The sequence below is a fragment of the Homo sapiens genome, chromosome 7 (genome assembly GCF_000001405.40).
Source record: "Homo sapiens chromosome 7, GRCh38.p14 Primary Assembly".
Lineage (NCBI taxonomy): Eukaryota > Metazoa > Chordata > Mammalia > Primates > Hominidae > Homo > Homo sapiens.
This window is the reverse complement of record NC_000007.14, coordinates 13,392,262-13,418,298: the sequence shown is the minus strand read 5'-3', so window position 1 is coordinate 13,418,298 and position 26,037 is coordinate 13,392,262. Positions and strand designations below refer to the sequence as shown.

Sequence of the window (26,037 nt, the reverse complement as noted above, 5' to 3'; positions counted from 1 at the left end):
GCTTGTTTCAATTTGCTTTTCTATGTTCCTTACTATAACTTACTTAACCTTTGCTCAGAAAATTCTATATTCTACAATGTATTATGCAGTCGTTTCTTTCAAGAGTTTTATAGTTTCTTGTTTCTCATTTTCTGCTTACTTGTCTATCTGGTCTTTGCTTTTCATTTATATTTTTATTTAATAAATTTCTTTCACATTTTTAATTCTTATCAATTTATTTTAACTCATGTTGAATTTTTTTTGCTCCCTTTTCCTTCATGATATGATTGCAACTGCCAATTTATTTTATTATTATTGTCTCTTCCTTTAATAATTGTTACATGGATGCTACAGTTTTATATTTGAAACTTGCTTTTTATATTTGAAAGTTGAATTGGTCCAGATTATCTGTTAATGGTGAGGCTCCTGGTACCTGGGTAGAAGAATGCTCAGGGTAGACTTATGAGTTCCTTTACCAGGGGCTTATGCTTTTTATTAGCATAGCTTACTTTGGTTCATCTATAGCTCTTATATTATCTACCTGATTCCCTTCTCTCATTATTGGCTGTCCTTTTATAAGAGAGACTGATGGCTTCCAAAGCTCATCATTTTCTTTCTTTCAGAAGCAGTACCTTTAGAAAATGTTAATTCTGGGCTATAAAATGAAAATTCATCTCTGACTTAAAGTGAAATTAACCACATTCTACATAGAGAAGCAAGCCACAAACCTGGATTCAAAATAAAGGGAGTAAGAAAAATTGTTGGGTACCTCCTTCCATGTTTAGATTTCTTGTCTGGATCACCAGGTGCCCATTAAAACAGTTAGATTAACATATTTTCACTGTAAGGGTTGATCTTTACATTTTGCTAAGACAAAAATGCAAGTTTTAGAGAAATGTCTTCAGTAAGATTCCCTTTTTTATATATCTGAAAGTATCCAAAAAAGATATTATTATGAATTTCAATATGCTAGGTACTGATCTCAATCTTACATGCCTTAATTATTTATGCTTAAAACAAACCTACAGTATAGCTATTCTTATTATCGCTTTACTGATAATAATACTGAAAAACAGAGAAGTTAAATAACTTGTCTAAGATATGATACATCAAGTAACCATCAGAGCTAAAACACAAGCTTTGTCAGGGTGTCTTCAGAGTCTGCAATCTCAAATCTTAAGTGGTATACCAATCTTTCTCTGTGTGTGTGTGTATTTACATTTATATTACTTATATTTATTTGAATAGTAAATTTTTATAATGGCTCTCACCGAATTCCTTGATTTTTGTGACTTCCTATAACTAATAAAATTCATAATAATAGAATGTGACTTCTAAGATTGGGCCCTACAGACTTTGCAGCTTCTGTTTTCACCTTCTTAGAGTGCTTCCATCATCATGGAAAGATGCCTATTACAACTTTTGGCCTATGAGAAATCAGGTGGTGGAGAACCAAGGTCACCTGACCAACAGCCCCCAGAGCTTTACCAGGCATGTGCAGGAGGCTATCCAGGACAATCAGGCTCAAGGTGCTGTTACAACTAATCAAAAAATGCATGACTGAGGCCATCCAGCATCACGTGATACACAGAGGAGTTAACCCAGACAATTCCTACCCAAATTGCTAATCCATAGAATTATGAACATAGAAATGGTTATTTATTTAAGCAGCAAAGTTTTGGTGTAGTTTATTATGCAGCAAAAGATAGCTGCTACAATATAAATTTATATTTGCCTGGAGAAGGAGAAGAAAATAAACACATCAAATTTTATACTAGTTAATTAAAGGAAGAATAAATTATTTTTTTTAAAAAAAGCTTTATGTCAGGAGCAAATGCTTATTGGCCAGTTTTGCTCCTTGCTTCTATGTAAAAGTGCTCAAATTGTGGGACCCTCTTTTGCCTCCTATTTACTCATTCCACATTAGGGGATGTAATAAAAGTTTTCTGGAGAATAAATTGGTTGGCTTGCCAGACCACTTCCACTTTCCATCTTTGAAGTTTGTTGACTCACAGCAGCAGCCCCTTTACCTATTGCACAGCAAGGGCCGATTCTCTTCTCTGAATAACAGAGCAGGATGTGGGGAAATCTGCTATGGTCATACTCACATGACTACATAGGTGGATTTGCCTAGTGCGATGGCTCAATATAGAAAAGCCACATTCTGTAATGATAATAATGGTCCCCCATTGTGATATCACTTTCTTTCTCAATTGGTTCAGAAATATGTATTATTTTGTTGTAACAAACATTGTAGAATAATATAACTGAAAATTGCATAGTTTGAAGATGTGTTCTAGGATAGATTAATGTCATAGCTACGAAAAGAATTAGTATCCTGCTAGGCAAAGTGGTATGATATTTTGTTAAACTGATTTTTCAAATATATCTACATAGGTCTTAAAAAATCTTTTTTTGAGACAGAGTTTTGCTCTTGTCGTTCAGGCTGGAGTGCAGTGGCACGATCTTGGCTCATGGCAACCTCTGCCTCCCGGGTTCAAGCGATTCTCCTGCCTCAGCCTCCTGAGTATCTGGGATTACAGGCATGCGCCACCACGCCCGGCTAATTTTGTATTTTTAGTAGAGACGGGGTTTCTCCATGTTGGTCAGGGTGGTCTCGAACTCCCAACCTCAGGTGATCCGCCCGCCTCGGCCTCCTAAAGTGCTGGGATTACAGGCATGAGCCATCGCGCCTGGCCTTAAGTTTTCTCTGAAATTTTCAATGACCAGGTCAAATGTCTAAAAGGGTAATCCATTTGCTCACACTTTTTTATACGTCTGGATAATTTGATATTTAGAAAGAAACAACAGATAAAATGTGTTTATTCATTTCAATTGTATTTTGGGCTCCCTTGGAAACCCCACAGAATAGCCATCTAGAGTGATTTAAGTGTAATTGATCTTTTAGATTGCTTACATAACCCTTTGACTTTGGTTACTATATAAAGCTGCAGACTTGCCCAAAATATTTTTGTATCATCATGTTTCATTTATTTTAGAAAAGTATGCTGCACCAAGCCAAACTAAATGGAAATGCCTGAGTTTACAGAAGCATTCTATACTATGACCTTTAAGTCACCTGGAAGAGGGCTCAAAGCACCTTTTACTGCTTAATCAAATTATAAACCTCTAAATTTCACTTCTTTCCCAGAAAGAAAATATACAACACTATTATAAAATAGCTCGTTGTTCTATAGACCTAGCTATAATGTAGAAAAAATTCAGTCCTCTGATTATATATAGATCTGTATTCTAAAACAGCTGACATAGCAAGTTCAGCCAACATCTCTCCTACTGACATGGAATGACTCAGTGTAACCACAATAGCCGTGACTGAATTTGGAAAAACTTCTCATGTCTCCGAATAGGGCTACCTGATTTAGGAAACAATGTAATCATCTACTGTGATCAAGCCAGGTAGCTATTTAGCCAATCTTTAAACACTTCCAGAAAAAATAGATGTTTCAGCATCAAGTCAAAGTTAGCAAACACCGATTGTTTGACCCTGCAATGACCGGCTCCAGTGTAACAGACTTTAAGAGACAGAGTAACTTAAAATAGAACAAGAGTGCAGCCATCTGGAAACCAGTGCAGCACAGTGTATATCAAATCTACCAAGGCAGCAGGAGATACACCTGCAGGCTGAAAGATCGCTATGGCAGTGTATTGCAACACCTTGCAAAGTCTAGCACAAGCCCCTCATGCAGCACACAGGTTCACAATGAAATTTGGTTTTAGGAAAGCAATAAAGAAAATACACTGCTGGTATGTCATTCACTTGGAGGCAAATATTCACTTACAGTAATTAGCTTGAATAGTGAGATTTTAATCATTTCATTCTCAACATAAATATTTGGCTAATCAATATGAAAGGTATTTATTTTCTCTATAGTTGGCTTTGCTTCTCAGCATTAGTACTGTGTGACAGATGGCTGATGTCATCTTTGCTTGGAAAAACTCAGTTGGCAATATTAGCATGGCATATTTCTGGGGACTTGTGATATGCTATGAGATGATAAAAAATAAAAGGGTCCAAAAGGGAATTCCCCAAAGCAAATATATTTATATGATTTGACACCATATTTTACTAATCCATCATACAAAGATATATATCCCATTTAATTAATGTTTTATTGAAACATATTCTGGTAAATATTAACAATGCCCTTGATCTTATTTTTTGAATTCTGGTAGTTTACAATATCATAAGGTTGTTTACATTTTCGTTGTCCCTATATTTGTCTAGTATATGCAGACAGAGCAGTCTCTTAGTACTAGTAACTGTACCCTCAATTATACCAACAATGATCAGTTTATAGCAATGAAAAGACTGGGAGTGTGCTGTGAAAAAAAGTTGACTTTTATGAAGTTCTCATCTGATGAGTCTAAAGTCACCCTTATTACTTGGTCCTATATTACAGATTTTGTTATTGCTGAAAATGGTCCATTACTATACTTTTCTCTCTACATTCCCTTTCCTTTATGCTGCCTGTAGCCACTAAGTGGCATGTGTCAAAACTTTTTATTTTTCTTTTTCAAGATAATTTTATTTTTCATGTTATGAAAATGTTAATGTAATTGTACTAATCTTCTTTTTTACATGTGCCCTAAAACTTAAAGTATAATAATAATAAAATTAAAAAAAAAAACTTTTGCTTTTGAAAAGGAGGAAGAATATGGGGTCAAAACTAGGATGCATAGTGGGGACACTAGAGGAGGAAAGGATATGAAATTTTTAAATTTTTTTAATGGGAGAAGGGTCTTTAATAATGAAATGTTTACTATTTTCAAGAACTCTTCTGGGCACTTTACATAAGTTAACTTATTTAATCATCTGAACAAACCACTGAGGTAGGAGCTTATGTTGTTTCTGTGAGAAAACTGAGGCACAAAGAACTTAAAAAAACTTTCTCAAGGTCTTTGAGCTGCTTTGTGGTGGAGTTGGGTTACAAGCTGAGATGGTTTGGCTCTAGAGTCTGTGTTCTAACTCTTATGCTAGAGACAAGAAAGCACAAAAGTCATCTGTGGAAGGAAAGGCAGAGTAGTAATTTTAGAGCCTGACTTCTATCAACAAATACATATTTCGTTTATACAAAAACATACCTCATTGAAGAAAATGATTATATCTTTTGTCTCTTTTGTTTCTTACACAGAATGCTTAACGTGGTTACCTTAAAAAATAAATTAAATACGAGCAATGACCATAACAGTAAGGAAGTGATTTTACAAATTGAAGGACAATTCAGAAAAAAAAAAATTGCGAATTTGCTAGTGTGTATAAGAAAAAGGAAAAGGTCAAAACAACAGCACTTAATAATTCCTTTAAGAATGTGATAATTTCCTATAAGACATTATTATTTCATTGAGGTTCTGCATATACTGTATATACAATTGATGGGACTATTAATTAAAATGAACTAAAAAGTTTCCTGAATTTAATATTAGATATAGTAGTAATTCTTGTTTTAAAAAAACCTACATAGTCAAATAATCAACACGTTTTCTCTTTTTCTTGTTTTAATGGCTCCAACCATTGGAATACCTCTGAATTATTCCATTTATTGATATTATTTTAATTTTTCCAAGAATCTCCCAAGTGTAATATCCATAGTCATTCAGCAAAGAGAAGTAGATATCATATATTTGGTTAGTTTATCTGCTTTGAAGATTTTTCTAAGATTTCACATCTCAATTATTAGAAACTAATGACAATTACTTAATTATATAAAATTTGACCAAAAATGTTCATGTTTAAATACATCTTTTTCAGGTATCACAGGAGTTTATTATTAACAATTTTAATCTCAGACTAAAAAGCTAATAAAAATGTTTACATATATATAATTACAGCGATACTATAGGTACTATTTCTATATTAATGTGAGGTATTTAGCAGATGTAACTAACATAAAGGTGACTAACATCTTGAGACATATGCCTTTGTCGCCAAGATTTAATAATCTTCATGTACCAGAGAAGGATACAATTAAAACATGGCCATGCTACTTATAAGACAATGTTCTTACTCATTTTTCTTGTTTATTTTTTAAAAGGGAATACGGTAAAATTATCATATGTGACATCATTAAAGAAAGTTTCCTGCTGATCTATTATCTGATAACATTATAATCAACAAATTATAATTAACCTAAGATATTTGTAAGTACCTATGTCGGCCTCGACCATTATGCCAGCAAATGTGTAACAAATCGGCCTTACGATGGCAGCATAAAGGTGTCCCATTTCACCTCGCTTATGTTCACTGTGCATTGCAGACAAACCCGGCTACAGCAACTGAGAAATGGAAACTGACAAGAAAACATTAAAACTGGTTTAACAGTGCTGTGTGTTTCTTCTCTAAGTATGATTAAATAATCATAAGAACTCCTCTAAGGGCTAATCTGCTATATTTTCCAGATTTTCACCTTGGGGACATATTGTCCCTTGTTACTGAAACCTCAGGGACAGAAGGGGACGCCACAGGGTGGCACAGCAGGAAGCTGAAACACTGATGAAACAGTGTTCAGTTAATGAAGGCATGGCCCATGGCCTCCGCTGCTCTGCCATATGTTTGAAGAAATGCTAATGACTGCAATTCAAATACCTTTTTCATCTTAACTATATGTAAATGTGTTTATAAATGCTCTCTTATAAATATACGATCACATTTTTAAAAGCCAAGTGCTAATGTTGCTTTCAACATCTATAATACACAATAATTAAAACTTAAGCAATTCTGCTTAATTATACCTTATGGGAAACTGTACAGTAATTTATAGAAATTAAGCAGAAAAACAAAGATCAACAGAAATAAAGCAGCAGTTGAGCAACTGAATAATAGATCACTTTGGTCATTAATTTACAACAGCAAAATCATTGTAAGTAAAAGACTTCAATCCTCATTCTTAAACAGCTGACATGTGAAAAAGAAGGTGTTAGAAATTTGGGTATTCCTTTTCAGAGCACAGCATGAACTGATGGTGGCACTGTCTACTTTCTTACTTTGTTCTTATGCTGCCCCCCAAAATCAAGTGGTAATTTCTAGTTGAAAACTTTCATTATTCTAATATGAGACATCTATCCTCATTTTCTTACACTTTTCCTCAACATTGCAGATAATTATTTGCTGGTAAATGGTCTCTTTTATGACAGATCCAGTTGGTACCCAGTTTGGGATATGCTGTACATTACATAATTTTTAAAACTACCCTAAAAGCTAAGTTGACTAGATCTATAAAACTGCAGATAACTATACATTCTAATCAGTAGAAATGACAAATTCTCACACCCTAAAATGTTCCCACTAAATACCAAAAATGATTGTTTGTGGCTTAAAATTCCCATTAATTAATTAGATCAATAAACTTACTTATGCATGTATTAATAGGAAAAAACTTCTAAGTTTGCATTAGCCATTATTTTGAGATATTTCATTAGAGTTGCTATTTTCTGCCATTTGTTTTCATTTCTAAAACAAAAATATTTGCTTAAACTTCTCTATACTACATCTCTGACTTTTATTTTGTCAGTAGAAATTTTTTAAAATGTTATGTAATTAATTATTTTACTGTCTTCAATAGCTGCTAAATTTCTAGATTTCTTAGTTCTTCCCCCACACGGAGGTTATGAAACTATTACTTTCATTTTCTTCAATGCTTTATGGTTTCCATTTTAATATTTATAGGCTTACTCCATTTGGATTTAAAAAAATAGAGAAGTAGGGATCTAGTTTTATATTCTTTTAAATAGAGAGCAATTTTTTTCAGACTTTTTTACAACTAATAGTTGTACATGTTCATGGGGTACATAATATTTTGATACATTTAATGTATAAACAAATTTTTCAACACCTTATTATATGCATTTCTCACTAGATTTATATGCAAATATCATCATATATTCCATACGCATGCATGCATTTATCTGTTTCTGAGTTCTCTATCTTGTTTTTCTCACCTATTTGTTATTTTTCTGCCAATATTTTAAACTTGTATTTCTGAAGATTTATGATATATTTAATACACAGCAGAACAAGTCCCTTATTCCTTGCATGGTCTCTTTTTTACCCAAAATTTCTTGACATTTCTCCCTATAAATTGCAGAATTTTTGTGTCCTGGTGCACACCTATCCCACTTTGCAATATTATGTTTGATTCACAAAAAGAATAGATGAAAAGTTATGAATCAGACAAATAGAACAATCACCCTGAATTTAAGATTCACCTTCAGAGCTGGCCAGTTATAGATAGGGTTACATCTACCCTATATAGAAAACCCATCTACCCATCTATAGAAACCCATATAGAAAACCCTATATAGAAAACCCATCTACCCATCTATAGAAAACCTATCCTATAGGTTTTCTATATCCTATATCCCATCATTCTGCTTTCACCTCCAAGGTAACCACTATTTTGAAGCTTGTATTTATTATTTTATTTAGTGTATAAATACTCATAAAGAATATGTAATTCTTTATAGAGATTTTTAAAGTTATCATACTTTATTAGTCTTCTTGAACTTTTTTCCATCAATATTATGTATCTGACTCATTCATGTGATTACATAGAGATAGAGTTTATTCATTTTTACTGCTACATAACATTTCCTTGTCCTAATGTGCCACAGTTTATTTTTCTATTGTTTATGATAGAAATTCAAGATTTCTAATGATTTTCAAAAATTATAACCAGTGCTGGTATGAACATTTTATGCATATCTTAGTTCAAACGTGCAACAATTTCACTAAAGTACATACCTACAAATGAATTACCTGACTCACAGTGTAGGTGAATAGTCAACTTGACAAAGTAATGCTGCATTGTTTTCTAAAGTGTTTGTAACAAACATTCATGCCTTTAATATTGTGTTTTTCTCTGTGTATGTGTATGTATAATATTTGAGTTCTTTCTCTGTAATATTTTAGATCTAATATGTATTAAATTATTTCCACACTATTCCACAAAATACAGTGATCAGAAATTTTGTTCCAACCCATTTTGTAAAATCTTTAATTGCTACTGTCATCATAACAATGGGACCTTGAACAAATTATTAAATAGATGTAAACTGGTTTTATTTTAGGGAAATGAGTAATAGAACCTAATTCACTTAGCCATTGCTGAAATAAAATGAAAGAGATAGTTCAAGAAAGTACCTTAGTAGGTTGGAATATAGGAAATGATCAGTAAATGCCAAGTGCTTATTATTATTGTAGTTGTTATTATTACATGCTGAATAAAATCTCTGGGCCTCTTTTACTCAAAAATTCAAAGATTTGAGGACAGTAAACCATTTGCATAAGTTTAGTCGATCATGTGAACATTGGGCAAGGTAAAAGATTAACATATGTATTTTTAATATTAATCTAAATAACTGTACAACCCATTCTTCAATGAAAATCTAAATATCAATTACCCAGATGGTAAAAAATACAAAATTCTGGTTATATAAGAGGAATCAATTCCAGATATCTATTCTATCACATGGTGACTATAGTTAATAACAATATATTGTATTTGTGAAAATTGCTGAGTGAGTTTTAAGTTTTGTCACCACAAAAAAATGATAAGTATGTAAGGTACTACATATGTTAGCTCAATTTAATCATTCCATGATGCATATATACTTCAAAACAACCCGTTGTACATAGTAAGTATTTATCATTTTTATTTGTCAAAAAATCAACTACCCAGATATTTTAGCTATATATACTCAACCACAAAATATGACCATAATATTTATCTGAATGTGTATGACTCTTATAGATAGATTTGGGCAGGATTCCCAGTCCCTCCAATGGTCTATTTTCCTCATAAATTAAAAAGTTTATTTGGTAAGGGAGGCAAAAACATTATTTTAAAATGTTAAAAGTAAAAATGGAGGTAAGGGATGACTGTTTAACACGTTTAAAAAACAAAGCAAACAAACAAAACAGAAGACAAGAGTTAAGCAACTTCCTCAATACAGGCTAAAAAGTGAATGTTGAAAAGCCATTAGACTGATTTTGCAGATCTAGAAAATAAAGGTCAGTGATATTTCCCCAAATGGGCTTGGCCACAAATATATCAGGATGCATTTTAAAACAAGCAGATGCATTTGTACCCCTCACTAGGAATATCTCAGCTCTGCTTTGCTTTAAGCACATACTAAGGAATTCTGATTACATGGGTCAACCAGTCCTTTTTCAAACAAAAGCCTCTTAGTAAAGAAATGTCACATGGTTCAGAAAAAAACTGACAAAAGGGCAAATTCTCCTTCTCCTTTCTTCATTGAGGCTGATTACAGGGTGGAATACATTCAAAGACCAGAACGTCTTGAAATTCATTTCCGAGACAAGAATCACAGCAAAGAAATACAAAATGATCAGTGATAGAACTAGACATTGTTTACCAGTAAATCATTTGCATAATGTTTACATATGAATGTATTATTGATGAGTATGGACTTTTCTCATATTATTTTTTCTTAATGAATTTGATTTAGTTTTTTAACAATGACCAGTGCATCTTGTTCTACCTCTGTCTGGTACTATTCCCGGTTTTTGCAGACTGTTGTCAATCTATTTTTCCTCTTATGGCCACTTAAAGATGGAAACATGATGCATTTATCCTGGGGTTTGTAAAATGATTTAATGATGCAAAGCATATGGAAATGCTTCTAAATAATGTGTAATAGCAAGCTTAGCAAGTGGAGGCTGTCTTGAATTTTGATAACTTACTAAGGGAAATATTGATGATTGGGAATGTTGGATGCTTAAGGGGAGAAAGTGAATAATTTACCTATGTTACCTGGATTCTTGACACCTATTCCTTGGACCTCAGGGAGGATCTCTGATTCTCCTTTCAAAAAAAAAAAAAAAAAAAGCAATCTTCTTTATGGTTCTTTTCTATGTGGTGAACCACACTTGTGAGTGATACGTTTACCACAAAATGAAACACAAAATTATCTCAGCACACTTTGAACAAGTAGAAATCTTGGGAGTGGGACAGTTTTCCTTGCATATGGATAGAATTTATGTAAACAACTCTAATGAGAACTTTATATGGCATTCCCAATAATGAAGTCCAATTTACTTAAAGTGAATAAGAGAAAAGTGGAGTGCCATGTACGGGAATATTCTTTACTAGTCATTCAAACCGATCTTACTCTTACAAGGAATGCGGGCTTCCTCATCAAACTTCTAGCTGGGAAAAGTGCTGCCATCTTCCCATCACTCTCCCTCTCCCAGTGGTCTTGTCCTTTTAACTATTAGCCTCTTTCCAGATGTGATTTCTCTTCCAGAGGTTAGCAAAACCCCAGCCTCTTTGATCATGGACTCTGCGACATATCATAATCAAAAGCTTTTCTGTTTGAGGGTGGGAGAATTGGAATTTCAAGGGTAGAATAATCATGGAAATGATCCTATATATTTCTGTACAGTATTTTAAAATTATGTTTCACCTATTTAAAAAGAAAAAAGAAAAACTCCGCCAAACACAAACACAACAGAAATATTTTGTTGAGAGGTAATCTTTTGCCGAAAGTATTTCCTAAGTCTAAATAAAAAAATGATGAATCACCCAGTTGCACTGATCCATTGTTAACCGTTGCAGTGCAATAGACTGAAGGATTAAAATTCCTATTCATTTTACCAAGGGATTGGGGAGGTAAGACCTCTCAATTCTACTCAACTGTGTAAAAATTGGGCCTTCCCTTTAAATAAATAATTGATAGCTCTTTTATCCCAATTAGTTGTCAACTCAAATTTCTTTGAAGGAATGAGGATGAAAACACAAAAAACAGAAAGATTACATTTTGTAGATGTTTGGTCTATTTTTCATAGCAAAGTCTATAATTTTTTATTGTTTTCTAATAACATTTATTTATATTTAAAGTAAGCTAGTATTTAACATAGAGTTTGCCACAAAATGATATTTGAGAAAATAAAGTAAAATATTGGTCATGGATATTCTTTTAAAATTATGGTTCAAAATAATAGATTAAGACTGTACTCTAAAGTATGAATTCTGAGGGAAGAATGACCCTTCAAATGTCAAACTTTTCTATCTGGTTTTTAAAAATACAATTAGCCATAAGAAGAAGTAAATCAGTGAGCATGCATTTTTTAACAAAGACATAGGTCAAGCATATAAATAGTATTGCCAAAAAATTTAGTTTTCTAAAACTATGTATATTGATGCATTGAATATTTTATTTACATTAAATCACTTATAAGGCAACAATATAGCAATGTACTCTAAACCACAAGAGCCAAGAATTTTAATAGGGCAATATGCCAGACTTTAAAACTTGAAATGCTATGGAAGAGGCCAACTTTTATGATTAATTCAATTTTTTTCTTCAATGTGTTAAAAATTTCTGCTTTTAGAACCTTCCAAACATACTTTCAATATATATTTGTGAACATAGAATGGCAGTTCATTGGCCAGATACATCAAGCGATGAACCATGTTTGGGGAAAGGTAATGATTAATCACCTTAATTGATCAACAAAAACTATTGAACATCAAGTAAGTTTTAAGGCATTATTATAAACTTCCTTATTTAGTTCATTTAATGTCCATATGTAACAAAATATATTTAGTTATGTGTTCTCAGAATGAAAGTAATGGAATATGGGCAAACAATTCTTGAGCTCCCTCATTTTAATAACATGAGTTAAGACTCAGATTTGCACAAAGCTAATACATGTCAGAAACAGGATTAAGTCCAAGTCTTCTGTCAAGTTGTATAGGTATAAATAATGGTATTTCTTACTCATTAGGGACTCATTAGAAACTATCTTTTCATTTCAAACAAGAGGTGTAAATGTTGCTGAATTTAGCCTAGTAAGTGACTGATACTGTTAGAAACTAAAAAGCAGCCTAGAAAATGAGTATCCCACTTTGAACACTTTGAAAGTTAATTTTAGGGTAAGTTATTTTCATCATTTGTTAGCCTCACTTTTTGCACTTGTAAATTTGAGAATTTGAAGAGTTGATTTCAAGGAAAATTTTATAGTTAAAAATAAAAATATAAAATGTCTATTGTCTCTACATTTAGTTGATAGCTGGAATTGATGCTTCCCATAACTGATACATTATGGAGGCTTTGGTTTTCTGTACCGTTAGGTGATTTTCTTCTGTCTGAGTTGACTATAACGTATGACTGTTAGCTGGACATCATGCCACCATCATTGTCTCTATATGCACTCTTTTATTTTACATTTCCTAGGTGGTACAGATAAATCTTATACCATAAAAATATTTTTTCTATTACTGATGCTCATTTTCATTAAAAATCTTCATTTCCCACATGACTGAAATTCAATTTCAATCAACTTAAAGGTCCTCAACATCTTTCCAAAGGATTATTACGAGGTAGGTAAAAGTTACTTGGTACCAGCTTACTGGGATGAGGATGGAATATTTAGCCTCAGTCAATGACTGTTGACCATGATCACAGTCCTTACACCAGTCTACTACAGTTACCTCACACACAGGTCCCAGTTACATCAACCTGTGCACTCCTTCAGTTATAAGTCTCTCTCATTGTCCACCCATGTTCTATTTTCTGAGTCAAACACTTTCACATCCTTGATCCTAAGGGCATCATGAGAGCCCCTATGCTACTCTTCAGCACATAAAAAGTATTTCACTGTTATCATGCCATGTCTGGGGTATGAACAAATCATGTGATGTTGTTTCAGGCTATCTGCCTTTACACAACAGGCAACCTTTATTGTTCTTTTGTCGTGGCAGTTTTCTGGGCTTTTCTCAGAAAATTGGAGTGCAAGTAATCTTCAGGTTAAAATTCATTGCTATTTGAGTTTTTATGTCTTATATCCCTACTACAGTATGGATGAAATCCAACCCCAATTTTTTCATGGATTCACTCTTCATTCCATATGGCTGTATTTCTCTACCCATTTTGCTTAGTCTTTATCTAGGCTGGTGCCTAAGTTACCATGCATTCTCTTTATTTTGAGTATCATCTGGGATCTAAGCTATTGATAACAAGAAGCACTTGTGATAGTCTAAGATCTAAAAAGTTTCGCTGAAAGTGAATATCTCATGATCTAGCTTCCTAAGTGGGAAAAGCACTAAGCAAATGTAAAGGGCAAAAAAGTTAATGTTTCAAAATACCATCCTACTAAATTCATATTTACTCATTGCACACTGAAGAAGAAAATTTGGGCAAACTGGACATTCACATTTTATTGACCATTTGAGGCTACACACCAAAAAGGAGTTGCTGTTATTGGTTGCCTAAATATGCAGGCTATTAAAAATTATTCTGCATACCTTTTGATTAATCTTTGTAGTTTAGCTATCATAATACTAGTATTTCGCATAATCTTGTTAAAACACTGTTTATGTAGATTTTTCTTTGGGACAAGACTTATTAAGAAAACATACCCTTTAGAATAATCACAATACAAAGGAGTATATTCATTGAAAATCATCCATTTCACTTAATTAATGTTGATTTACCGACAATGATTTTTTCCCAAGTAATTATTAGTGGATAATTTGTTGTTTAGAAATTGCATATTTTGTGATTATCACCATCTCACTGATCAAAAAATAAGTACAAATAGAGTGACCTAGACTGTTGGTTGGCCTAGGAAACTCCTGGTTTTTGCCTGCTGCCCTGTGTAATTATTTATAGTGTCTCCTTTTACTCTGAAAAAAAGTTTGTTTTGGACTATAAATTATTTAGTTCCTTAGTTATCATAGATTATATCTGCCTTACATTTTTCAACACAGGTCATGAGTGGATTTAGCAGTTTGAAAGTTTCTGTTAGACAGAATACACTAATCGCTGATGATGCTTCTGGAGTATTTACCACTTTCCATTCCTTCTGATTTCTAAGAAACAGTTTTTCTACTGTTTACAGATAAAGCCAATCATTGAGGAAAAGGAGAATATTTCAATGAAAAAGGAATTTTGATATCAGGAATTATGGGTAGCAATAGCCTTAGGATTCACTCAGCTTAAATATATTGTTTTCAAAATCCTTTTATCACTTGCATGTCCCTTGGAGGTCTGACATGGAAGCAAGGCTTTAGCCATCAGCCAAAATAGTAGTGCATCATAACCTTAAGTTGTAGAAACAGCAATCTTTTATCTGACTCTTTAAAACTCAGTATCAACTTAATCTTTATTAAATTTCATAGAATTTTAATCAAGTATCCTACTTGAGGAATAAGATTTTAGTTTCAACTATTATTCTCCATTTTTGTTGTCTGTATTACATAATAAAATAGTGTTCAAGAACTTGAAAATCTGCCATTTTTACTCAACTGATTTTGTCTTTATACATAAGCCAAGTTGTGGAATCTCAATATTGATCTGAATCTTTAAACATTCTTTTGGAATAATGTTATTACATTATTGTCCTAAGGATCATGGTGTTCAGGAATAATCTGATGGTGCTAGTATCCTAGTATTCTTACTACACTGTTTAAACAACACTTGTCCAACATTACGCAGTTATTTTTAGTCTGGTCCATAGCAGCCCAGAAGCAAGTATGTTTTCATGTGTTCCAAACTGTATTCTAGAATGAGCCTTAGGAAGCAACTAAACATAATGGGACATTATAAAAGAGAGTTAGACATTACTTTTATTCAAGCCAAAAGCACTACTTTTAGAAAAATAGATCCTAGTGTTCAGATGAAATATGCTAAACATACACACCCAATACGTTCTTACATTTGGTTATATAAGACTTAAATTTGTCACTAAGATAAGGAGAAGTTGTTATTATAAGTGTTGTTGTTATTATTATTTACTTTTTAGTTATGTCCAAAATTGAATTTTATATCACTAATGTTAACAACAATTTTCACTCTTTTAAAGACCTTATAATCATCAAGATACTGTTTTCCTACCACATAAAACTAAATTTTGGAATTTAAATAGAGAATTAATATAATACTTGAATACAACCAAAGCAATTTTTGAGTAAAATTAAGTCACATGCTATTCTTCTTATAAAATTGGGGTGTTCTTCAATGTTTTTTCAAGAAGGCACATTTGAAAACAAAGCAAACAAAAAACAAAATTATGGTTTCTTACCACCATAATCCAACAACAAAAAGACATTTCAATGTAAATTATTTAGGTCATAGTCTCAAAGTAAAATATCCTCTTAAATAGATTACAACTTTGAGAAAATAATAAACTGTCATTTTTTTTTCAGATGATGCAGATGATTAAAAAGATGATCATGAAGACACACTCTTTAAATGACTGGGGAAAACATCAGACCAAGGGACATGATAGTCATTGGTCAAAATTCTTAAATAGTTCTCTTTCTATTAAACCTCATTATCAGAAAGCTAAGCATATGAACGTACTACTCTGGCCAGCTATAGAATAATCTTAACTAATCTTTAATTAGTCTTTTTATTGCATAATGCAGGATCTTGTGTATTATTATCAAATTACTATCAAGTGCATTGCCTACTATGGCGTCAATATGCTTAAAATTCTGTCATAATATTTCTCTCAATTTTTTACATGAAAAAAGTCAGTTTTTGCCTTTATTTTTAAGAAGTTTAAAGTTAATTTTTACTGCACATTGACAACTTTCTCTAGTCTGAGTTTGGGGACACAGTTCTATCTTCTTTTTCCTTAACTACTTACTAGCAGTTGTTGGTTTTCTTTTGTTTTCATATATTAGGTATATATTTAATAGTAAGGTAGCCCCAGTTCTTTTTGGAAGTATGAAGGTCAACAAATAGCATGCTTTTAATTAGAAATTAAGTGCCCTGTATCCAGAGAATTTTGTCCCCTGAATAAGACTTCTGCAATTAGACTAAGTAGTAGCTTGGTTTCTCATGTAACTTAAGCCATTAGGTTAGCGTTGCCTACTTGCTTGTTTGTTGTGGATAAACATCACACTATCAAGTGTGTTATGCCATTAAGTTTAAATTTTATTCACCCTTCCCATGCTAAAAGACAGTATTATGAATTCTTGCTTCTTATTTAAAAATGAGAAACTAAACTAAGAATCATTGTACACAGCCTTCAATACATGCATTTTATGCCAAACACTCTGTTTTTTTAGGGGATTTAACCTGGGAAAAAAGGAAGAGGCACAAATTCTTGAGTCACAAAGGCCAAGAAGATATGCACAAATATCTCCTCTTAGCCTTACATGCTTTTCATACGTACTTGCATAATATATCACATTAAAAACTTGTCTGGTTTTTCCTTTGTGTGTTTATGTTGTTGTTGCCGTGTGTGACTTCTGGGTCATGAGATTTTGAAGTCCCAAACTAACAACACAAGATGTTGGTAAGAATGGCAGGTGAATAGTCACCTGTTTTCTTTGCACTTTCAAGTATTGTTTCAACTCATAACAAGACTGTCTCTGGATTGCTCTCAGGATGTAGCAATGGAGTGAAACCTGAAGCATGTTTTCTCTGGAAATCCTGCTTCATTCTGATTTGAATGAACTTGTGTGAACTTAAAAGCATCATTCAGCTTTGAGGTTGCTGTCCCATGCAGAAACCTAACATTTGTTGAGTTCCACAGAGAGAAGAGATATTTAAGCTCTTATGTATTTCTTAGCTTTCTCATCTTGGAGCATAAGATACTGCAGTGGAGTCATGGATGGATTGGTGGCAGTGAGGGGCAAGTTCCATATTCAACAGTCTGCTTCTCTGCTACCTTAGAGTCCATTTGGATTAGGAAAAGAACATTTTTGATTACAATATGTTTATTTGTTTCCATTTTTTCTTCTGAGATTCTTGAATTTATCTGATTTAAACATATTTTCCTGCTACTATTCCTAAGAGTCACTGCTAAAACATGGTTCATTTTATTATAGAAACAGAGTAAGCTAATTATCTCATGAGAACTTGCTATAATTTTAAGGGTTATGCACAAGATGTTAACTAATCACACAGCTCCCAGATATTTGTAACATGCAGTGTGACTCTGAGGTTGCATTTAAATGAGTGCTAGGCATGACCTATGATGTGTTGTTTCTGGTGCTGCATGGAGGAAAAAATAGTGCATTATGCAGGGTTAAATTCACAATACTTTACATGTCTTATTTCAGATAGAATAAAAGTATATAATATTTTATCACAATTCAATAATTCACAGCATTTTCTAAAAATTAATATTTTTGGCCAGGCACGGTGCCTCATGCCTGTAATCCCAGCACTTTGGGAGGCCAAGGCAGGCGGATCACAAGGTCAGGAGTTTGAGAACAGCCTGGCCAACATGGTGAAATCCCATCTCTACTAAAAATACAAAAATTAGCCAGGCACAGTGGTGGGTGCCTGTAATCACAGCTACTCGGGAGGCTGAGGCAGGAAAATTGCTTAAACCCAGGAGGCAGAGGTTGCAGTGAGCCGAGATCACACCACTGCACTACAGCCTGGGTGACAGAGCAAGACTCTTGTCTCAGAAAAAAAAAAAAAATAACAAGAATAATATTTTTAGTTTAAAAATATTTATAAAATAAGAGAAATTAATTGCCAATTGTAAATATAATATAAATTAATGCAAACTAGTATGAGTTAATATACATGTGTTAAAATAAATATCCTTTTAAAATCAGATCTTAAAATAATTTCAGTAATGTGAACAGGGAAACCTGAGGCTTATTTTTTTAAATCTTATGTTGAAGTCAACGTAATTGCTGCAAGTAATAAGAAATCTATTAGAACTGTTCAGAATTGTCAGATTAAAATGAAAAATACGTAGAACTGATGCATCTGATTTGCAGACCTGTTAACTAGATATCATTATGTCAAGGGTAGCTCTTTTTTAATTTATAAATTTTCCTTAAAAGATGTCTACAATCACTATGTTTATTTAGTCACTATCTATTCATTCTTTAATGCTTTTAGTTTCATGTATTCTAACCAACTATTAAATTTATGCTGCTTATAGTCCTAATAATAAGTTTAAAGGTCTTAAATACCAAAGGAAATGAATCTCCAGCCATTACCCTCCAAAATCTATCTGAAGCTTGATATGGCTACCTTCCTATTTTCACTGAAAACTTCTCCTCTCAAAATATGTGTTATATTATCTTGTTTCTTTACCTACATCCCAAATCATTTTTTTCTGTTTTAAATATTTTCAATTTTTAAAACTGTTTTTACATCTTCTTTCTCTCTAGAAGACAAGTACTCTTTTTTATTATTTTTTATTTTTATCCAAAGCACTAACTACACTAGCTTGCAAGTAACACTTGTTCAAAAATTACTCATGGGTAGAAAAAGAAAGATAAAGATCTTTTTGCTTTGAAAGAATTTTGACCTGATCTTGGTGAGATTTAAGTCACTTTGGGTACTGCTTTAGATTCCTCCTTGTGTCCTCAAAGAACTGAAGATCTTTCTTATTCTTCAAATATGTTATTCGGGAATCACAGAATCCGGAGAGAATTCAAATCTCTTCACTTAAATGGCTTTTTTTCCTTTTATCTGAAATTTATTATAGCTTATTTTTTGTTCCTCATAATAAAAATAATTGCAATTTTAAAATGAATTAGAAAATTATTTTTTATTCTCCAATAAAACAATATCTTATCAAGCATATGAGATCAAAATTCTGCATTGGTTTAGTAACATACCTTTTCTCCTGCCTATTTTTAAACAGAGCATTTTTGTAGTATATACATACCAGAGTCAATTAGGAAATGTAATGCAGAAGTATAACAATATTATTTACAAGTATAGTGGTGTACTTAGGGCTCAAGTAAATACACTGAGAAATAATCAGATAATTTATTATACTAAAGCAAATGTGTATTTACATTTCCTCTTTTATCTTTCATAAAAAATGTTCAAAAAATGTTTGTATTAAAAATATTCAGAGTATGCCTTCATCTAAAGTAAATCTCTTTGTTTAATGTTCCTTTGAGGCTTCCTGTATGTAGCTTAGTATGTCCCCTTAGAAATATATATATTGCATGGATTCTAAGATTTTAATACGTTTTTTATTTACAAAAATGATATCTTATTTTTTCATCATGCTCACTTTTTTTAAATGAGGAATTTGGCATAAAGTCTTTTCACCTTGTTAATGTCTACGACGTGGAGACTACGAGAATTTATTCTAGGTATAACTACAATGAGGAACCATGTTCCCTAAAACAAACACAGACTTACGTTTAAGTCTTTAATCCACCTTCAGTTAATTTTGTATAAGTCTGTAAGGAAGGGGTCCAGTTTCAGTTTTCTGCATATGGCTAGCCAGTTTTCCCAACACCATTTATTAAACAGGGAATCCTTTTCCCATTGCTTGTGTGTGTCAGGTTTGTCAAAGATCAGATGGTTGTAGATGTGTGGCGTTATTTCTGAGGCTTCTGTTATGTTCCATTGGTCTACACATCTGTTTTGGTACCAGTACCATGCTGTTTTGATTACTCTAGCCTTGTAGTATACTTTGAAGTCAGGTAGTGTGATGCCCACAGCTTTGTTCTTTTTGCTTAGGATTGTCTTGGGTATATGGGCTCTTTTTTGGTTCCATATGAAATTTAAAGTAGTTTTCTCTAATTCTGTGAAAAAAGTTAATGGTAGCTTGATGGGGATAGCATTGAATCTATACATTACTTTGGGCAGTATGGCCATTTTCACAATAGTGATTCTTCCTATACATGAGCATGGAATCTTTTCCCATTTGTTTGTGTCCTCTCTTATTTCCTTGAGCAGTGGTTTGTAGTTCTCCTTGAAGAGGTCCGTCATATCCCTTTTAAGTTGTATTCCTAGGTAAAGAGGTTCTGCACAGCAAAAGAAAATATCATCAGAGTGAACAGGCAACCTACAGAATGGGAGAAAATTTTTGCAATCTATCCATTAGACAAAGGGCTAATATCCAGAACCTACAAAAAAACAAACTTACAAGAAAAAACAACCCCATCAAAAAGTGGGTAAAAGATATGAACAGACACTTCTGAAAAGAAGACATTTATGTGGCCAAAAAACATGAAAAAAAGCTCATTATCACTGGTCATTAGAGAAATGCAATTCAAAACCACAATGGGATACCACCTCATGCCAGTTAGAATGGAGATCATTAAAAAATCAGGAAACAACAGATGTTGGAGAGGATGTGGAGAAATAGGAACGCTTTTACACTGTTGGTGGGACTGTAAATTAGTTCAACCATTGTGGAAGACAGTGTGGTGATTCCTCAACGATCTAACACCAGAAATACCATTTGACTCAGCAATCCCATTACTGGGTATATACCCAAAGGATTATAAATCATTCCACTATAAAGAAACATGCACACATTTGTTGATTGCAGCACTATTCACAATAGCAAAGACTTGAACTAACCCAAATGCCCATCCATGATAGACTAGATAAAGAAAATGTGGCACATATACACCATGGAATACTATGCAGCCATAAAAAAGGATGAGTTCATGTCCTCTGCAGGCACATGAAGCTGGAAAACATCATTCTCAGCAAACTAACACAGGAACAGAAAATCAAACACCATATGTTCTCACTGATAGGTGGGAGTTGAACAATGAGATCACATGGACACAGGGAGGGGAACATCACACACTGGGGCCTGTTGGGGGTTGGGGGGCTAGGGGAGGGATTTCATTAGGAGAAATACCTAATGTAGATGACAGGTTGATGGCTGCAGCAAACCACCATGGCACATGTATACCTATGTAACAAACCTGCATGTTCTGTACATATATCCCATAACTTAAAGTATATATATAACACAGACTTCTGGGAAGATCAGTTTACAAAAAGCAAAACAACATAACTCAAAACAAAAGACCCACAACTAAATCTGCTCACAACTCCCTTCTTTTGCACTATGCCCACCAAAACCATTCCATGTTTTAGCTTTAGTTTAAGAAGACCAATTTTGGTTTCAAAGGTGATTCATTTATTATTTAAGGCTTCATGCGCTACTTCATTTTTTTGTGCTAATTTGGTCCGCACTTATTCACTAAAGCAGCTCCTCCTACTCTTATTTCTCTTTCCTACTATCACCTAATCTAGCTACATTATGCCAAAAATAGCACAAAACTGGCTCTTTTATATAATTTTGTGTGTGTTTTCTGAGAATTGACTGACACTACTACCTGCAAACTGTCTACTGGTTTTGCCCATTTCTTAAACAATGGTCAAATGTTCACCCCCTAAATATGCACAGGTACTGTGAAAAACAGCAACAGCAATCAGCTTGCTTTAAGGCCTTCAACTTTTACATGCAGATAATGAGGCAGAGGTCAAACCATATAGGAAATGTCCTTCAATTTGACAGTGCAAAGGGAATACATCTTTCACAAACTGGTTCAACTGATGAGAAAACACAAGGTGACCAGACGTATATCTGTTTACTTTCATTTCCCAGCTATTTCCATGTCCTATGATGGGAATGGATGGAAAGTTTCATGTTATGTTTTGGCTTCTACTAAATTAGTCCTACTGCTTCTGGAAAGAAGTCTTTTTCACTCCCAGAAAAACAAACAAACAAACAAAAATACACATTTTAACTGAGAAAGAAAACCGGAGCTAAGCTGAGAGCAGGATGAAAACAGCACAGGGGTCATAGATATCAATGTGTAAATATTTGAAAAATCTCCTTCAAAATTGGGTTAACTTGATTCATGCTTATAAACCTGGGATATACGTATCCCAAGGGATATGCAGTATTTTGCAGAAACATATACAGAACCATGGTGTAAATGTGGGATGCACCTTGGGAGAATGAGGAAAATAAAATTTATGGAAAACTGGGTAATTTTATTGGTAATCTTTAAAATACTATTAAAAATAAAAATTAGCAAAGATATGATGCCCACAAGTGGATTACTGAAATACCATCACCAAACAGGACATCAGGTATGCATAATGTGAATAAGTAATAAAGTTCTCTTCATGACTGAGGCAGCCCTGTGGTGTTTTATAATAAAATAATTACTCAGGTTCTGTGCAGCCTTGTCCTGTTTTCACTCCTCCTCTCTTTAAAAATTTGGTGCAACTCTGACTTTAGTCATCCCTAAGAAAGGAGAAATTGGACATGGCCAAGCCTCTGGGAGTTTCCTGTGACCTCCACTGATGAGATTAGGAAGATTTATTTTGGCATCTCTGCTTTTCCCTTTAGAGTGACCAGTCAGAAACTGGTATCTAGAAGACTATGGTAACAGTGAAGTAGGAGACCTCTCGTCACCGCATTTCTAGAGCCTTTATGTTGCTTCCTCTTCCTCAGTGGCTTATAAGCAGGGAGACGATTCATTCTGTGGCAGACAGGAGACTGAAAGGGGTGCAGGGCCAACAGAAGTGTCCTAAGAAAAATGGACCCAATTTTCATAATAGCTAACAGGGAAGTTTGAAGAGGAAGAATTAAAGTTTAAGTTAATTTGATACATCAATTTTAAAGGTGTTTCTTGGGGCAATATATGTGAGAATAGAAGAGCCTGATTTCATACAGTGTGTCAGTCGCCAAAGCATGTAGCAGAAAATGTCAAAATTACATCAGGCTTAAAATAGGGCATACAATCTCAAAAACACTCAGCAATTTCCATGGGAGTATTTTAATTTACTTTTCCAAGACTTTGAGGTTGCTCTTTTACTCTTTAGGAGTTTCTCAATGAGAATTGTACATATTTAGAAACTTCTGGGAGAATCAGGGTGACTCCTACACTGCTCTATATCATCCATGATTAAGTAACTCATTAATGTAGCCCTTGCATAATTATAAATGGGCAACTGGTCATTTGAATTAACGTCTTCGCTATTTGGTTAAAACAGAATTAATTAAATAATGAAAGTTCCTTTCAGATATCATAAGGCAATAAGAAAATTTTTACAAAAGTAAATTTTGATATATTGATGTTTAATTAATGAAAGGTTGAGAAAACCAAAGCTACAACTTCTTTTCTTGGAGCAGAATTAAAACACAAAAATTATAATTTTCTCTTTTTCTATATATATACATTTTGATATTTTATTTACATATAATTTCAGACTTACAGGACACTATTAAATTTATATACATGATGCTAATTTGTGTGTTAGTCTCAGCAGAGCTGCTTCAAACATAATTTTTATGCAGCAGTACCACATATAATGTGTTTATACTTTTTCTAAATTATACATATAATATATAAAATAACTTTACTTCAAAATGCTTTTATTTCTTCCTCATCTCTGTATGTTGTCTTTTGTTATATTTTTAAATTTAATAATTTTTCAAACTAAATTTACTTTGTTCTTGAGATACTAAAGGTATCAAATTGAGTATAAAGAATATTCTTTGTGGCCGGGCGCAGTGGCTCACGCCTGTAATCCCAGCACTTTGGGAGGCTGAGGCGGGCAGATCACAAAGTCAGGAGATAAAGACCATCCTGGCTAACAGGGTGAAAGCCCATCTCTACTAAAAATATAAAAAAAAAATAAGCCAGGCGTGGTGGCGGGCGCCTGTAGTCCCAGCTACTCGGGAGGCTGAGGCAGGAGAATGGCATCAACCCAGGAGACGGAGCTTGCAGTGAGCCGAGACTGCGCCACTGCACTCCAGCCTGGGCGACGGAGTGAGACACCATATTAAAAAAAAAAAAAAAAGAAAAAAAAAGAATATTCTTTGCAAATGATCTTAAATAGTTCAAGAAAATTCAATTTTGAAAAATGAATATTAGTAATGAATATTAGTTAACTACTACAAATATTTTAGAAGTAAACCTCTAAGGTTCTCAGAACAATTCCAAAAGGGGACTTGTATAATACGAGTGCTTTCTGACAGTTTTCTAATTTCAGTTTCATCACCTGTGAAATTGAATTAAACATTTTTACCTCATAGGATTTGGTTGAGGGGCTGGTGGGGAGATACAGGTCATTATTTTTACGTCTAACTTAACGGTCATTTTGTAGCTGAATCAGTGCCCTGAAGAAATGGAATTTGGTATAAATGGAAGTTATTGTTGTTAGGAGAAGGTTACAAGTTTGGAGTCATGGGGCATTAAAGTGGGAATCCTTTATGCATGTCATTCCCTTTGCCTTGATGCTTTCTCCCTTTTCTTCTTAGGCCAACTCTGACTTACCCTTCAGTTTGGCTGAGGTATCACCTCACCTGGGAAGCATGCTCTCGTGAGACAGACTATAGTAAATTAGTTTGTATGCGTGCCTGTAGTATGACATGTATTCTCCTATCACAACATAGCTGACCTATGTCTTCACAGTGTTTACCATAAGTGTTGTGCTTACCTAGCTCCTCAGTTAGAATTTGGGCTCCATTTTTTACATTGCAAGATTTTCAGTTCTAGCACCAAAATGTAGTGCCTTAATGTTGAACTATTTAAAATTCCATCATTCTAATAACCAGTGGGCTCCTGCTATGTCAGACACTCTACTAGGCTCACTGCACCTGATAAATCCAAACATAGACTAAATCTTGTTCTTGGTGAAGAAGTGTATTGTAACTATATAGAACAATAAAGATAAAACGATCATACTAGTGACCTAGAAGTGAGCAGGACAGCCCCAGTGTTGTGAAATTGCTTCTAATGGACTCAGGGAATTCCCAAGCAATCAGAACACACATATGCTACAAACGAGCTGCAGGTGTCCCCCCCTGCATACTCCTACCAAGTAAGCATATTTTCATGTTCCTTTTTCTCTCTGCCTCAAAATAGGTTATTTTTTCCTCCACAGTAGAATTATGCCTTCCAGAGAAGCCCTACACATGAAAGAATTAAACAAAGGATAAGTACAGGTTGTTAAATGAATCTGTACTCCAAAAATAACATGAGGTGAGATTTCTGCCAAAAACAAGCAGTAAAAGCAAACACAAAACAACTAGGGAAACGTCATACAATGTTTACAAAGTTGAAAGTTGAAGTATTACTGTGTAATGTATTTTCTAAATACAATAATCAAGGTAGAAATAACATCATGTAGGTTAAGATTTGTGAAGTGACTCTTAGAGCTTTCATTACTTGTCAAACTTTCTGGAATGCTTATTGCACAGAATGATCTATGTGGAAAATAAAAACTTTGTAAAATATGGCTTATCAAGTCCAAAATATATTTCTTAATAATATGGTGTGCTTACTGTAGAAAACTTAGAAAATTCAA

The 26,037-nt window shown here is 33.5% G+C and overlaps 1 long non-coding RNA gene across 1 annotated transcript in view, besides 1 other annotated feature; it reads right to left on the bottom strand.

Annotated features, from left to right (window-relative positions):
* LOC107986770 (uncharacterized) overlaps nucleotides 1–26,037 on the bottom strand; it is a 407,223-nt gene that overhangs the window by 284,160 nt on the left and 97,026 nt on the right. The gene's annotated exons all lie outside the window — the stretch shown is intronic.
* Nucleotides 6,205–7,004: an enhancer, noted in NCBI's record as "VISTA enhancer hs749". NCBI's record gives its function as "enhancer in: hindbrain (rhombencephalon)[9/10] | midbrain (mesencephalon)[9/10]" and the evidence as "EXISTENCE:transgenic organism evidence [ECO:0001131][PMID:17130149]".